At 43.0% G+C, this 15,438-nt stretch overlaps 1 protein-coding gene across 47 annotated transcripts in view, besides 1 other annotated feature; it reads right to left on the bottom strand.

Moving 5' to 3' along the window:
• RBFOX1 (RNA binding fox-1 homolog 1) overlaps positions 1 to 15,438 on the bottom strand; it is a 2,473,620-nt gene that overhangs the window by 273,400 nt on the left and 2,184,782 nt on the right. The gene's annotated exons all lie outside the window — the stretch shown is intronic.
• Positions 7,654 to 8,310: an enhancer, noted in NCBI's record as "NANOG hESC enhancer chr16:7481632-7482288 (GRCh37/hg19 assembly coordinates)". NCBI's record gives its function as "activates a minimal SCP1, AML or CMV promoter by ChIP-STARR-seq in naive H9 embryonic stem cells {active_cell/tissue: H9 hESC(naive)}" and the evidence as "EXISTENCE:reporter gene assay evidence [ECO:0000049][PMID:30033119]".

Raw genomic sequence — 15,438 nt, 5'->3', positions numbered from 1 at the left:
GATTTGGTTGTTTTGTGGTTCAGGAAACCTGGAGCCTTGACTGCTAATACAAAGCAACAATTTTCTATTAGCTTTGAACACACTGGCACTTCTCTTTTCCACCTAGATCATTGTCACCTCTTCCTCAAACCCCATCCCAATTTGACAAGCAAGCAATCTGTAAATTTGGCGGTAGATGCTCAGGAAAGAATATGCATGAGGAAAAGACACATCCATTAGCAATGCAGATACAGTCACAAATGAGACAGCACTTGCATGAATAGTGCCTTTAAAACAGTTATTTAATCCAGCTAAAATTTATCTTCAGGAAAAACTGAGCAGCGTTGGGACTCAAGACATTTTGCATTTAAAGCATGGATTAAATGCTCTCCTCGTTGCCTTTCTTTAAGGGAGATATTTGCAAATCTCCTATCGACTTACAAGGCCTGGAGATGGGAGGAACTAGGTGGATAATTCTGGGTTAAAAATTGTGTCCAGACAAGAAGAATACAAATGATTTGTTTTCTTCTTAAAGTGAATGGATGCCTTTTCCTCCACCCAGAAAGAAAGGTGAGGCTGGATTTTTTTTTTTTTTTAATCTGCCTTTCACAGCACTCTTTAGCCAGTACAGACTCATGACGTTCCATGAAAAGAGGGACATGAAGGTTCAAATCACCGTCACTGGCACCTGAAGAAGAGCCACTGGGGCATGATCATATGATTCAGATGTTTTGCTCCTTGCACTGGATTTTCTGAGTTCAAGGCCTCCTGCAATGGTGAAGACGACACAGCGCGAAGGCCTGCGTAAAGAAGACTTAAGCAGAAGGACAAGGGCATCCATTTGCCAGCGCGAGGACCATGCTCCTCTGTGCACACTGAGAGTGCACAGAGAGACTCTGCGTTGGCTCAACAAAACAAAGTGCGGTGGTTTCCGCTGAACTCTGCTCCACCACAGCGCGACCTGCCCTCATTAAAGATTCTCTACATACAGGTGCTTCTCACTGGGCTGACTTCTGAAATGGCTTTCTTTTTATTCCCAGGGACACATCAAGAGCTGAAGGGGGGGATTCATGCAGTATAGATCACTCAGCCATTGACAGAGCATCAGGCTTTGACAAGCTGCTTGGCGTGGTTGAAAGTCTAGGTTGGGCCTGGGCCCATCAAGGCTACGCTATTGAATTATTGACAGGCGCTCACTGTGGTGCAAAGGGAGAATGAACCATAGCCTCAGCTCAATAAAGATGAAATGGAAACCCTCTCTGAAGCCGACTTTAGCACGTTAAAGGAGTTTTAATGGGCTGGTTTAAAATTCAGTAAGAGAATGCATTAGCCTGATTATATTTTCAATGGCTAAATGCAGACACGCACACAAGTTTGGGATTCAGAGAGGTTTACAAATGAGTGAGGAGTCTGTGAGGACGAATTACGCCCTTCTAAAGGAAGGCTGGAGTCCGTGGATGTTCCAGTCTGATCCCCAGAGCAGTTATTGTCCCGCCATCTCTCCTTGATTACCTTCTTCTGCCCTCCCAGGACAGGGCAAAACGGCTAATCTGAATTTAATAAAATGAACCTGTCTCACCATCATGCTCACCGTGGCCCCAGAGGACCCAAACCATGGACTGACATCCAAAGTAGCACTCTTTACCCCCTCACATCCACTTTACAATCTCCATCCCCATCCCTGGCAAACATAAGGTGTTTCTCGCATCAGCATCTTAATAGAGAGAGGACATGAAGAACTCTCTGTAGCCACTGTACCCTGGTTAGTAAATTAACATTAACCATTCTGATTTTTCTTATATAATCTTTTCTTTTTTAAATTCCCACCTGCCAAGATTTACTTGTATTTTAATAGCTGATGTCAGACAAGCATCGCGGAGCAAGTCCCATCTCAGAACTATAATTTTAAATACAATGAGACGCACATCAACTGTCGCACTGACATGCAGGGATTATTCCACGTGGACTTCTAAAGTGCATCCTAAAAGCTTCAAAGACCTAGCACATTTTAAAAGAATTTAAATTGATGATCGCGGTGTGCTTTTTTTTTTTTTAAGCAATTTGTCTAATATGACCCTATATTCATTTTTTTTTTCTGACTTTGCTTCCAATGGACTGCCTCCTGTCAAGTTGCAGAAGGGGCCGACCAGCACATCTAAATCTGTATTCGTTTGCCTTCCACAAGATTATCTTTGCCACGTCGAGCAGTATAAGTAAATCAAAGATGCTTCTCAGAGCTGCAGGAGTAGGCTAATCTCCAGACAAATATTTAGAAGGCAGCTTTGCCTACTCCGGCCTTAATCGTTTCCAACTGATTTGACTTATTCTAATTACAGCCTTTATGTTATAAAAGCCATTTTTATGTTGCCGGGGAGCAGTTTCATTGCAAATACATGAAATTTTGCTGAGTTTCCGTTCCCATGTTGATTATGGAAATGGTACTCTGCAGCTTGGCTCTAATTAGAAAAACACACTGCATGGAACGTCAACAATTTTTAACATTAATAACGCGCCAACAGTGTCCTTTTGTCTCTATTAACATCCTTTCCACAGAATCTGACATGGGAGAGCCTATGATTCACTGTGCGATGGAAGTAGGAGTCATTTTCCCCATGTTTGATGGACAAGTACTCCTCCCCCACCCTCAAAGTGGGAGCTGCCTGTTTGGAGAAGAAGGATACTAATTTAATATAACAGAAAGGGGGGGGGGGCAAAGATAATTTAATTCTAGCACAGTTGAGGATAGTATGTTTGTTTGTGATTGTGAACTTGGAAAATTCTACTAGCACAGTATCATAAAACAGATTAAACGATCCTATGGCAAATCAGAGAGCCCTGTGATGCTTCTGCTCTGTGGCTTTCTGGTGTCAGGAGATTTTTTGAGACAGAGTCTCGCTCTGTCACCCAGGCTGGAGTGCAGTGGTGTGATCTTGGCTTACTGCAATCTCCACCTCCTGGGTTTAAGAGATTCTCCTACCTCAGCTTCCTGAGTAGCTCGGATTACAGGCGCGTATCACCATGACCAGCTATTTTTATTTATTTATTTATTTTTTTGTATTTTTAGTAGTGATGGGGCTTCGCCATATTTGCCAGGCTGGTCTCAAACTCCTAACTTAGGATGATCCGCCTGCCTTGGTCTCCCAAAGTGCTGGGATTGCAGGTATGAGCCACTGCACCAGGCTGAGATTTTAAAATATGTTAAGAAAATCTCAGCAAGGAGACCAAATAATTTTCTAGCTATTTCACTGAGATGGGAGGTCAGACACCAGGAGCTGGAGCTCAGGACATCTCATCCTCAAAGGTTCCTGAGTGATCCTCCGCAAATGCCTGATAGCAAAGAAAGAGTTAACCCAGCGCCAATCCTTTAACCTCATGGAGCCTCAGTTTATGCATCTTTAAAATGGGACTACTTATGCCTGCCCCCTAGAGTTGTTGGATGGATGAGGCATAACGCCATGCTGTTGCACTGGGTTGTGAAGACACATGTCTCCACCTGTGTTTGACAGTGATCTGATGGACACTGTCCAAATTTCACACATCCCCAACCTTTGAACAGGAAATTCCAGTTATTACAAAATATATGACACGCACTATATGTGTTCAAACACGTTTGTCCAAGTTTGCCTACCACAGTAATTTGGCATACAATGAAAGAGGATGGGAAAACCAACCGGAAATAACATAAACATCCACCCATAGGAAAGATGCTCACGATTCATTGTCAAATAGAAAAATAAAAACAAAAACAATAAGAATAGAATGACTTCTACTGAAAAAATATAAATTCCTCGGTCAAAAGAGAGGAATGTGAGAACTGGAAATGTACTTCCAATCTGTCCTCCAAAAAGGCTATCTTGAGTTACACTCTCCATAACAGAGTTGTTTGCATCTGTGGAAAGAAATTCTCACGATGTTCAGGGAGCTTTCATGCCCCACCCTCCCTAAAAATTAACTGAAGATCACAGCGCAGAGAAAAGAAAAGAGGTCGCTATGTCATAAAAGGAATGACGTGCTGCAGTAATGTTGACGTACTTCAACAAGTGCTGCCTGCTTTGGTCATTTCCATGGGAAAACACACACACACATACCCCAGCAGGCCAACTCCTACAGTTATGACACAACTTAGTGCATGGAGGAATGAGCCTTTAATTTCTTTGACACAGGATCTGGCACTGTGGCTGTGATGTTTGCCTGGATGATGAAGCTCTTTAAAGAAAATTATTTAGCCCTGCAACTAAGCCCACCTGAAGGCCAAAACCTACAGCTAAATAGCTTCGGGGGCAGGCAATGTTCCTGGTAGTGAGCCAAATTCTCCTTCAATGTGGCTTGCAATAGTTCATCTTGCATTTTCCACCTGATGGTCCTTTACCCAGGTCCTGCTGAAAAGCCTCATGGATGTAGATGCTGCTGCTTCAAGGAGGTGAAGCCTAACAAACACCTCACCCGTAAGTGTCAACTGCTCATAGTGATTTCCTTCCAAAGAGCACAGTATGCAAAGAGAGGAAAAATGAGACAGGCACTGCCTCAGCCAGATGACCAAGGTGAACATCAACAGCGATAAGTCATTTTCATAATATGTACCACTGACATGGTGTGATACAAATGGCACGCTGTCTCTGTGGTCTTCCTCTCCGTAACCCATAACTCCAGTCTCACCATCAGACAAACTCCTCAGTGGAGGGACACACTACAAAACACCTGCTTAGTACTCCAAAAAAGACAAGGTCGTTAAATACAAGCAGAGTCTAAGAAACAGTCACAGACCAGAAGGGGAGAAGAAGACATGGCAATTAATTGTAATGTGACATCCTGGAACAGAAAAGAACGAGGTAAAAACTAAGGAAATCTGAATAAAATGTAGACATTAGTTAACAATAATGTATCAATATTGGTTCATTAGTTGTGATAAACGTACCATATGTAAAATATGATAAATGCAAAATGTGAACAAGACAGCACTTTGGGAGGCCAAGGCAGGCGGATCACTGAAGGTCAACAGTTCAAGACCGGCCTCACCAACACGGTGAAACCCCATCTCTACTAAAAATACAAAAATTAGCCCAGTGTGGTGGTGCATGTCTGTAATCCCATCTACCCAGGAGGCTGAGGCTAGAGAATCACTTGAGTCTGGGAGGCAGAGGTTGCAGTGAGCAGAGATCACACCACTGCACTCCAGCCTGGCTGATCCAGCGAGGCTCAATCTCAGGAAAGAAAAAAAAAAAAAATGTTAACAAGAGGGCAAACTAGACGCTGGGTAGATGGGAACTCTCTGGACTGTCTTTACAACTTTTCTGTAAATGTAAAAGTATTCTAAAATAAAATGTTTATTTAGAATTCTAAACTTTAGGATCCCCTTAGGGCTTCTAAAGGATGCAGTCCAGTAGGTCATGGTGGTCTTAGTGTTTGGGCCTCTGTCTTATTTCCCAGTCCATCTCCTCATCTCCTGATGATTTTTTTTATTTTTATTTTTATTTATTTATTTATTTTAACGAGACAGAGTCTTGCTCTGTCGCCCGGGCTGGAGTGCAGTGGTGCTATCTCGGCTCACTGCAAGCTCCGCCTCCCGGGTTGATGCCATTCTCCTGCCTCAGCCTTCAGAGTAGCTGGGACTACTGGCGCCCGCCACTGTGCCCAGCTAATTTTTTTGTATTTTTAGTAGAGACGGGGTTTCACCGTGTTAGCCAGGATGGTCTCGATCTTCTGAAGTCGTGATCTGCCTGCCTTGGCGTCCCAAAATGCGGGGATTATAGCCGTGAGCCACCGCGCCCCGCCCCTCCTTCATCTCTTATACCACCACATGTCTGTCATCTCCTAAGCTCTTACCTGGTTTATGAAACTTTACTCCGTGCTCTCCAAAATCAGCCCTGATCTTTCTTCCTTTTTACCTGCTTTACATCTTTTAGTGTCTTTCTGATCATTCAGGCTTGACTCCTCCAAGAGCAGTTTCCAATAGTATTAACTGTTCCCTCTCATCGTTCTCACAAATACTCAAAATTGCACTTAACTATTCAGCTTATAAATGAATTGTCTAACATACCTATCTACCACCTTTCTCTGAACTCCTTTGGAGATGGCCTCATTTACCTTTCTCTCCCTGTCATTTGGCTTACTCCATGGCACACACAGGTGTTAAATAAGTATTTTTAGAAAGGCTGGCTGGCTAGCTGTCTGGCTGGCTGGCTGGATGGATAGTTAGATGACTGGATAATTAGATGGATGGGTGGTTGGGTGGATGGGTGGATGAACAGATGGATGGACAGAAGGATGGTAGAAGGGATGGATGAATTTTTCTATCTCTGATACTGTAGAAACTAAATTGGTAACCTATCTCCCAGACAACTCTTCAAACACGTGAAGTCAGTGTGCTTCACCTGTGTGACATGAACCCCTTAAGACTCAATTCAGATGCCTCCTCCTCCATGCAGTCTTTCAGCAAGATTTCACCGCGCATTTGTCTGTACTCCAACACAGCATTATGGACTCAGTCCACTGTTTTGTATCTGCTCTACATGGAACATTCATTATCCCCTATTAGACTTGAAGTTCCTTAGAACAAAGGCCATGCCATGTCTCTATGATGACGTGGGGAGGAGAAAAAGTATCAGTGAGAATTTCCTTTAGAGAGACTACTGCCTTTATTGTGGAGAATGCAAACTAAGAGCTTAGGGTTTGAATTAGAACTGGACCCTTACTCACCGTCTCTGCCCACTATGTGTTTTTACTAGAAGAGGCAAGAAAACCTTTTTGCATATTAAAGACAAGAGATTTTATAGACTTCCTCCTAAGAAGTCCCAGAAGGAAAGAAGGGAGGATCAGCAAGTTTGAGTACTTGGTTGGGGGAATTCAATGGGCACACCAACCCCAACTATCCCACTTCCAAGGCTGCTGAGAAAGAATCCTGGGAAAACAAGATTATGCGGGAATTTTGCGTGGCATTTGCTGGGGGCTACAAGATATAAACCTCCTTCCCTGTTTCCCTCCACAGAAGCTGCAGAGAAGTCTTCTACACAGTTCGAAAATGCCACTTGACACATTGAATCCTCTGGGGCAACACCATAAGGCTGTTGATTCTGTGTTATGATGGCCTGAAAACAGAGATGACCATGAATGCAAATTCACAAGCTGGGAAGCAGCAGAGAGAGCAAAGGAGCCATAGTTCCAGGAATCAACAGAATGCTTGGGGGAGATTCCACACATCACAGAAAAGGCCATCAGCTGGAGTCTAGGACAGGGCTCTCAAACTATGGCCCATAGGCCAGATTCAGCCAACCATCTGTTTTGGTAAATAAAGTTTTATTAGAACACAGTTACCCCCATGTGTTTATGTATTGTCTGTGACTGCTTTCACACTAAAATGGCAGAGCTGAGTAGTTGTGACAGAGACCAGATGGCCCACAAAGCTTAAAAGTGTTACTCTCTGGTCCTTTATAAAAAAAATGTTTGTGCATACCTGTTGTTAAGACAAGAAATCCTATGTCTTTAAGGTGCAATGCAACCTGAGTGACAGTCTCTCCAAGCAGCCTCAGTAAGCACAACGATTGCATTAGGAGAATTCACAAAAAGCTTCTCTTCTGGGATTGGGATCCTAAATTTTTCAAAGAGTAAAGATGAGTGGGGTAGCAGATTACCCTTCTCTCTGGGAGTTATTTGTGCAGAGAATTTTACCAAAATCCCAAAGTTCACTTCTCTCCCAGCATTCTATCCCACCTTGGGAGACTCATCCTACCTTTAAGACAAGGATGAAAACTAAGAAAAGTCAGACAGCCACATTTCCGCCCCAGGCAAAAGCTCTGGGTGCCAGCAGGCACCCCTGCTGACCTGACAATGAGTTGGATGACCAGCACAGTGTGGGGGCATCCTGTGGGATCTGAAGACCCATCTGCCCCCACTGCTGAAGTGACACCCTCCTTCCCACTGGGCTGGGTGTAAGGAAAGCAAGTGGAAGGAGCGGACCTTCTAGGTGCCACAGGCTGCCCACTGGTGGGAATGCTTGGCATCCCGTAATGAGGCCTCAGAGAAAATCATCTTTTGTGTTAGCTAGAAACAAGCCCCTGCCTCCTGTGAACTGGATGGTGGGGGAAAGGTCTTTCTAATGGGGAGCTAATTACCTTAACAGTTAAGTGTTCTGCACTAGGGTAGCAGACTTCCCAGCCTCAAATACTAGTTTTGCCACTCAGTAATGTGGGTCTAAAGCAGGCCACTTAACCTCTCCATGTCTTTGTTCTGTAGCAATTGCCAGAGGCTAAGGAGAGGACAGAATGGAGAGGGACAGCTTAATGGATATGGGGTTCCTTTTGAAGTAATAAAAATGTTCTGAAACTGGACAGTGATGGCGGTTGCATTAAATATCACCGATGACACATTTTATGTTACGTGTATTTTACCAGCATTTTTTAAAAATAAAAGACATATTAAGCCGGGCACAGTGGCGCGGTGGCTCACGCCCATAATCCCACACTTTGGGAGGCCAAAGTGGAAGGATCACTTGAGTTCAGGAGCTTGAGACCAGTCTGGGCAACACAGTAAGAACCCATCTACACACACACACACACACACAAAATTAAAAAATTAACTGCGCATGTTGGTGCAGACCTGTAGCCCCAGCTACTTAGGAGGCTGAGGCAGGAGAATTCCTTGAGCCCACAAGCTTGAGGCTGCAGTGAGCTCTATGATTGCACCACTGCCCTCCAGCCTGGCCAACACAGTGAGAGTCCTACTCAAAATAACAACAACAATAATAATAAAAGACATGTAAAAAATAGGATCCCTTGTTAGAGTTAAGGTAAGGAATCAAACGAGATAATCACGCAAAACACTAGCACAGTGCATGGCACACAGTAGATAATTAGTCAGTTTGGGTTTGAGGTTGTTGTTATGGAAAAGCTGGTGCTGCCTGTGCCTTAGTAGAAAGCCAGAGGACCAGGGTGGGCTTAGACTCCTGTTTGATGATTGTGAAAGCAAAACTACCATACAACATAGATTCAAGTACACGTGCTTCTATTTTTCTGAGTCTAAGAAACTAGCAAACAAACATTCTTTGGCATATCCCTACGTCTGGTTCTTTTCCAGTCACATCATACACGTTATTTAATATTCATGATAACCAAGCCCCCTTCCTATGAATAAGGATGCTTAGATTATAAAAAGTTAAGTGACTTGCACTTGGCCATCCAGGTAGCAAGACGACCAGGCTTCCTGTGTGGACCCTGGCCACTGAACTTGAAGTCCAATGTACTATTCCATGCCATGCTGGCAACTCTTGATGAAACACAGAATGGGTGGGTACTTTTTTTTTTTTTTTTGAGATGGAGTCTCACTCTGTCACCCAGGCTGGTGTGCAGTGGCATAATCTTGGCACTGAAACCTCTGTCTCCTGGGTTGAAGCAATTCTTCTGCCTCAGCCTCTCGAGTAGCTGGGACTACAGGCACGTGCCACCACGGCTGGCTAATTTTTTTGTATTTTTAGTAAAGACGGGGTTTCACCTTGTTAGCCAGGATGGTCTTGATTTCCTCACCTTGTGATCTGCCTGCCTCAGCCTCCCGAAGTGCTGGGATTACAGGCATGAGCCACTGCGCCCAGCCTAGGTGGGTACCATTTTTAATTCAAAGAAGGAAGTTGTTTCAAAATATTATCAGCAGTAAGATGCTGCAGCTTTGCTTTTGGGAATTGCATAAACCACCACCACAACAAAACAATAAATAATTTTCGAAATAGGGAATGGCTATGAGTGAAGACATGAGGCTGGAATAGTTACTGTGGGCCAATGGAACATTATTTATCCAAAAATATTTAAATGTGCTAGATTAATGATAAGCTCATTTGGTTGGATTATAGACTTAGTGGCAAGAAAGTAGAACAAGTTTTTAAAAATCAATTCATTCCGCCAATTTGTTTTGAGCATGTACTCTCTGTGAAGAATCATGTTAGGAGCTGGGGAAAAACTATGATGACAAATGGCCCTAGACCAAGAGAAACTCAATGATTGCAGGGAGAAAGTAAGTAGGTCAATGCAACACTGTCACAAGTCCCACAAAGGCAGAGATTTTTGTGTATTTTGTTTACTGATACATTCTGCAGCTTCTAGAAGAGTGTGCAATACATAGTATATCTCAATAATTATTAGTTGGAGTAATGAAGAATGGAAAGGCAGAGTTTGCTGTTAGGGAAATAATAGGGTCTATGGAAGCACAGAAAGAAATATCTGAGTGATACTCTACCCATGCACTTTTCCCAATAAAAATTGTAAATTCCCAAGGGAAAAGATATATTATCTACCTTTGCCATGTCCCATGATGGTTATATGGCAGTTTTTATCAGTTCCTCCCATCCTGTATTCATCCACCTGACGACTATTTTCTGCTCACCTCCTCTAGATTCTAGGCTCTGGGTGTATGAGAGGACAAAATAGGTGGCTTCCTGTTCTCTTGAAGCTTACTGTAAACTAAAATTCAAGGTAATATCATTGCAGACAGCTATGAATGTGATGAAGGAAAAGTACAGTGTGCTGGCAGAGAGAATAAAAGTTGGCTGGGCAGGATCACTTTTGATGGGCTAGCCAGGGAAGGCTTCTCAGAGGACGGTGACACCAAAATCAACAGCTGATGAATGAAAAGGGGGTGAGGGAAGGAGAGGCAGGATGGCTTGTGCCAAGTCCTTGAGATCCCTGAGTGCTTCAGCAGGAGGAAGAAGCCAGCATGGCCGGGGATGGGTGAGCAGGGAAGGGGTGACCAGAGAGAGGATGTTGCTGTGCCTCTGTCCAGTAGATGTCCCCTCCACTTGCTCTGGTTCACAAGATTATATTCACAGTGTTCACATCAGGAGATGTCAGAAAAGCCTTATGCCGCTCGATTTCCCACCAGCTCTGGAGTCGGGTCCTCTCCACTTCCACACATTCATTTCCACAAGACAGGTCACCTTTCCACCAGTGTGGACGTCTCACAGTAGAATCAAGGACAACAATAGAAATCCTCCTGTCTGTTGATACACTTTTTTTCTTTGCAGAGCGCCAGGCATTGTACTGTGTTGTACTTTACGACCTACATGTGCAGATGTGAGTAGTGTCACTCACTACTACTGTTGCTGCTGCTGCTACTTCTACTACTGTTATCATTATCATTATTCCCATTATAAAGATGAGTAAGACTGAGTCTCAGAGAGGGGAAGTGAATTGCCCTCAAAGCCAAAATAAAAGAGAAAGAAAGAAAAATCCACATATATCATTGTGTGAACACTCAAATGTAAGCTGTCTGACTCCAATGTTTGGTCTTCGCTTATTAGATATTAATTCTCTGGTCAGGTGCAGTGACTCACACCTGTAATCCCAGCACTATGGGAGGCCAAGGCAGGTGGATCACCTGAGGTCAGGAGTTTGATACCAGCCTGGCCAACATGGCAAAACCCTGTCTCTACTAAAACTACAAATAATAATAATAATAATAATAATAATAATAATAATAATAATAATAAAATAGCCAGGAGTGGTAGTGGATGCCTGTAATCCCAGCTACTCAGGGGGCTGAGGCAGGAGAATCACTAGAACCCAGGAGGCAAAAGTTGCAGTGAACCGAGATCATGCCATTGCACTCCAGCCTGAGCAACAGAGCAAAACTCCGTCTCAAAAAAAAAAAAAAAAAAAAAGATATTAATTCTCATAGGTCAAATATATCTCATACAAAACTTATTCAACAAAAAAAGTTGACTGCAGTGACGATATGCCAATAGCAATGCTAGGTGTTGGAGAAACTAAATGAATAAAAGGGATTCCTGACTTCAGGGGAAAAGATACGTAAGCACTATCATGCAACGTGATACATCCATCACATAACAGCATATAAGGAGTTCAGATTTGGAGGAAATGACAAATGCAGCTGGGGCCTCCTGGAGGAGGCAATACTTGAGCCACAACTTAAAAGACAGGTAAGAACTTTTAGGATGAGCAAATAGGAGGGAGAAACATTCTTGGAATGTAAAAAGATATCTGATATGGGGGCACGGAGTATGTTCAAGAAACAGCTAAATTAAGACTGTGCATGGTGGCTGAGCACTTTAGGAGGCCAAGGCAGGCAGATCATCTGAGGTCAGGGGTTTGAGACCAAGCTGGGAAACATGTTCAAACCCCATCTCTACTAAAAATATGAAAACTAACTGGGCGTGGTAGCACATGCCTGTAATCCCAGCTACTCGGGAGGCTGAGGCACAAGAATCACTAGAACCCGGGAGGTGGAGTTTGCAGTGAGGTGAGATCCAGCCATTGCACTCCATGCACTCTAGCCTGGGAAACAGAGAGAGACTCCATCTCAAAAAAAATAAATAAATAAAAATAAAAAAAAATAAAAAGAAGAAGAAAAAGAAAAGAAAAGAAAGAAAGAGTTAAATTAGCTTGGGCAAGGGAAGGTAAAATTGGAGGGGAAAGGATGGCCTAATGTCTCAGAAGTTGGTTAGAGACTGGGGATTTTCTTCTGCACTGGGAGAGCTACACACAGTTGTTAAGCAAGTCACCGGAGGGTACATTTGGTACGTTTCGCATTTTTGCAAAACCAAGCCTGTCCAACTTCAGCAGGGGCTCTCAAACTTGGGGGTTCTCAGACCAGCAGCATCAGCATCTCTTGGAAATTTGTTAGAATGCAAATTACTTGGCCCCGTCCTACATCCTACAGAATCAGAAACTCGAGGTTTTATTTTATTTTATTAATTTTTATTATACTTTAAGTTCTAGGGTACATGTGCACAACATGCAGGTTTGTTACATATGTATACATGTGCCATGTTGGTGTGCTGCACCCATTAACTCGTCATTTACATTAGGTATTTCTCCTAATGCTATCCCTCTCCGCTCCCCCCACTGCATGACAGGCCCCGGTCACACGATGTTCCCCACCTTGTGTCCAAGTGTTCTCATTGTTCAGTTCCCACCTATGAGTGAGAACACGCAGTGTTTGGTTTTCTGTCCTTTCAATAGTTTGCTGAGAATGATGGTTTCCAGCTTCATCCATGTCCCTACAAAGGACATGAACTCATCCTTTTTTATGGCTGCATAGTATTCCATGGTGTGTATCTGCCACAGACTCAGAGGTTTTAACAAGCCGTGCAGGAATGCTGATGCACCCTCATGTATGATAACCAAGGACCTGTCCCCCAGACAGCCTGCCTTGCCTCTCTGCTTACACCCCTGTAGGTGTAGTCTCCTGTCTGCAGACCACTTCACTCTAGCTTCTAACCCAAGATCCACTGCTGTTGGTATTCTCAGGACCTTCCACAGGACAGATAAAATATGCAACGCATCATGTCCCCTTCTTGTGTCAACCCACAACCTCCAAGACCAAGACAGCCACGCAGCACAGCGTGCGCCTAATTTTATTGGGGGAGATCCTCTCCCTTGGCGCATCTATTTGGTTTGAAGAACAACATGCTTTCTCCCTCTCCTTCCTAATTTTCCTAGCTGCATGCTGGAGAGTCAGATCACCATGCTGCTCAGGAACTCACGCTGTTGCTTGAAAACTATCATTAGCTAAGAGCTGGGCTAATGCATTCAGAGGTGGGGAGTTAATAAGAAAACAGGCCCAATTCGGCAGCCTGTGCCCATGGTGCCCCCAGAGCTGGGTGTTAAGTGGTGACTGGCAACTCCCCTCTAATCACCTCTTGTTAGCTGCAACTATAGGCAAATTGCTAGTAAGGATTAAGCGGGGAGACGATGCCAGGATCACTGTCAAGCAGAAAAAAGACTCAATTTGTAGAGCAATCATGACTCTGTAATCACTTCTTTAAGAGCTCTTTTCGGCTGTGTTTGCTTCTGGAAGGTGTAGACCCTGCCTAGGCAAGGGTGGGCCAAGAGCCTGCACGCTGGCTTTTTCCTGAGTATATTAAAATGATTACTCCCTTAAACGAGATAAGCCTTTCTATTAATAGTGCTTTGCCTCAGTGGGTCTCTCCCGACATCCGAGGCCCAGATGCCGCCTTGAACAAATGAACACCAATGTGTATAAACAATTGATCTGAGCTCATGGATACAGCACATTTCTGTAAACACTGAGGAGAATCTGGGAGGAGGCTTTATGGGGAAAAAATGATACATTTCGTTTATCACTGTTTGTATAATGCTCATGTAAAATAGAAACAAATTAACAAGGCAGTATTTTAAGAACTGTTACACGTCAGGGAAAAAAAATCCTGGAAGGCGATCCTTTCTCTCCCCAGTTCAAGGGAGGATTTGTTAAAAGAGGGAGGAGGGGTCTCTATCCCCCCTAGAATGTTTGGAGCTTTTGCCCAGGTAGGATAACTTCTATTTTCCAAGCTTATTCTCAGGGCTTAACAATTTCATTTATTTTCACACATTTATCCAGAGAAGTTTAGAAACAGAATGAGCAAGAGGAAACTATGTAATTTCAGAAGGAACATTTGCCACTTGGAAACAAAAGAGACCGCCAGAAATAAGGTGATATTTAAAGTCGAAACATGATTCATCCTGATATAAATGTAATTTTAAGTCCTTCAAAGAAGGGTTTCCATCCTTTGAAATTTCTCAAGTAGGAACAGGTTTTGAGGAAGTTTTCTATTACATGATCCGGTTGAGGGAAAAATGAAGCAATGAAGACGTGGAGAAGGTAACTCGTAGGTAAAAGTCAACTCAACTATTACTCATCAAATAGACCCCTTGCGGGTTTATAAGAAGTCATAGTGAAAAAATTAAACCCCACTTCTCTCATTCAGTGTGTTGTAAATCCGCATGCTGTAAATGAAGCATTAAACAACAATGGACTTCTAGCATTCTACAGCAAAAATGCACTTCAAAACATAATTTTCACATTTTTTTCTCTAAATGTCTAAAAGAAATTATTTCCCAACAGTATAAGCCTTTCCCTGGAAAAAAAACATATTTTAAAAAATGAGTACTTGATACAGACAACACACTGAGATTTACAATAATTTCCCCCTTTTATGTCAAAATAATAATAATGCCAACTTGTATTATACTCATACCATCTCTAAGATAACATTCTTCTTGGTGCTCAAACTCCCAAGTATCTTATCACCTTTGGAATATAATTTGTATTATATTCTGCTCCAAATTTTACCTCAGTAGGGGGTCATTCAGTCAAAATAACACCTGTTATTTCCAGAGGGAGACCCAGAACCTGAAGAAAAAATAACTAGAAAGGTGATTATGTGATTGTTTCAGCTGGCACTGTTTGTTTGTTTGTTTGCTTGCTTTTAGGATAATACTATGATCCCAAACTGTCAAAGCTGAAATTGTATCCCCTTCCATAGGTTCTTTCATTTCCTTCTTATCCTGGGCACTACATAAGAAACAAAATAAATGCATTATGTACCTTGTGAACAGCTATGATGTAAACATCAAGTCCTTACCAGTAATCTCATATTTAATAAAACATATTCAAGCGTATGGCCAGGTGAGGTGGTTCACACCTGTAATCCCGGCACTTTTGGAAGCCGAGGTGGGT

This window comes from Homo sapiens, chromosome 16 (assembly GCF_000001405.40).
Source record: "Homo sapiens chromosome 16, GRCh38.p14 Primary Assembly".
In the NCBI taxonomy this organism is placed as follows: Eukaryota; Metazoa; Chordata; class Mammalia; order Primates; family Hominidae; genus Homo; species Homo sapiens.
The sequence above is the reverse complement of the archived record's forward strand: the minus strand, read 5'-3'. Positions and strand labels throughout refer to the sequence as shown.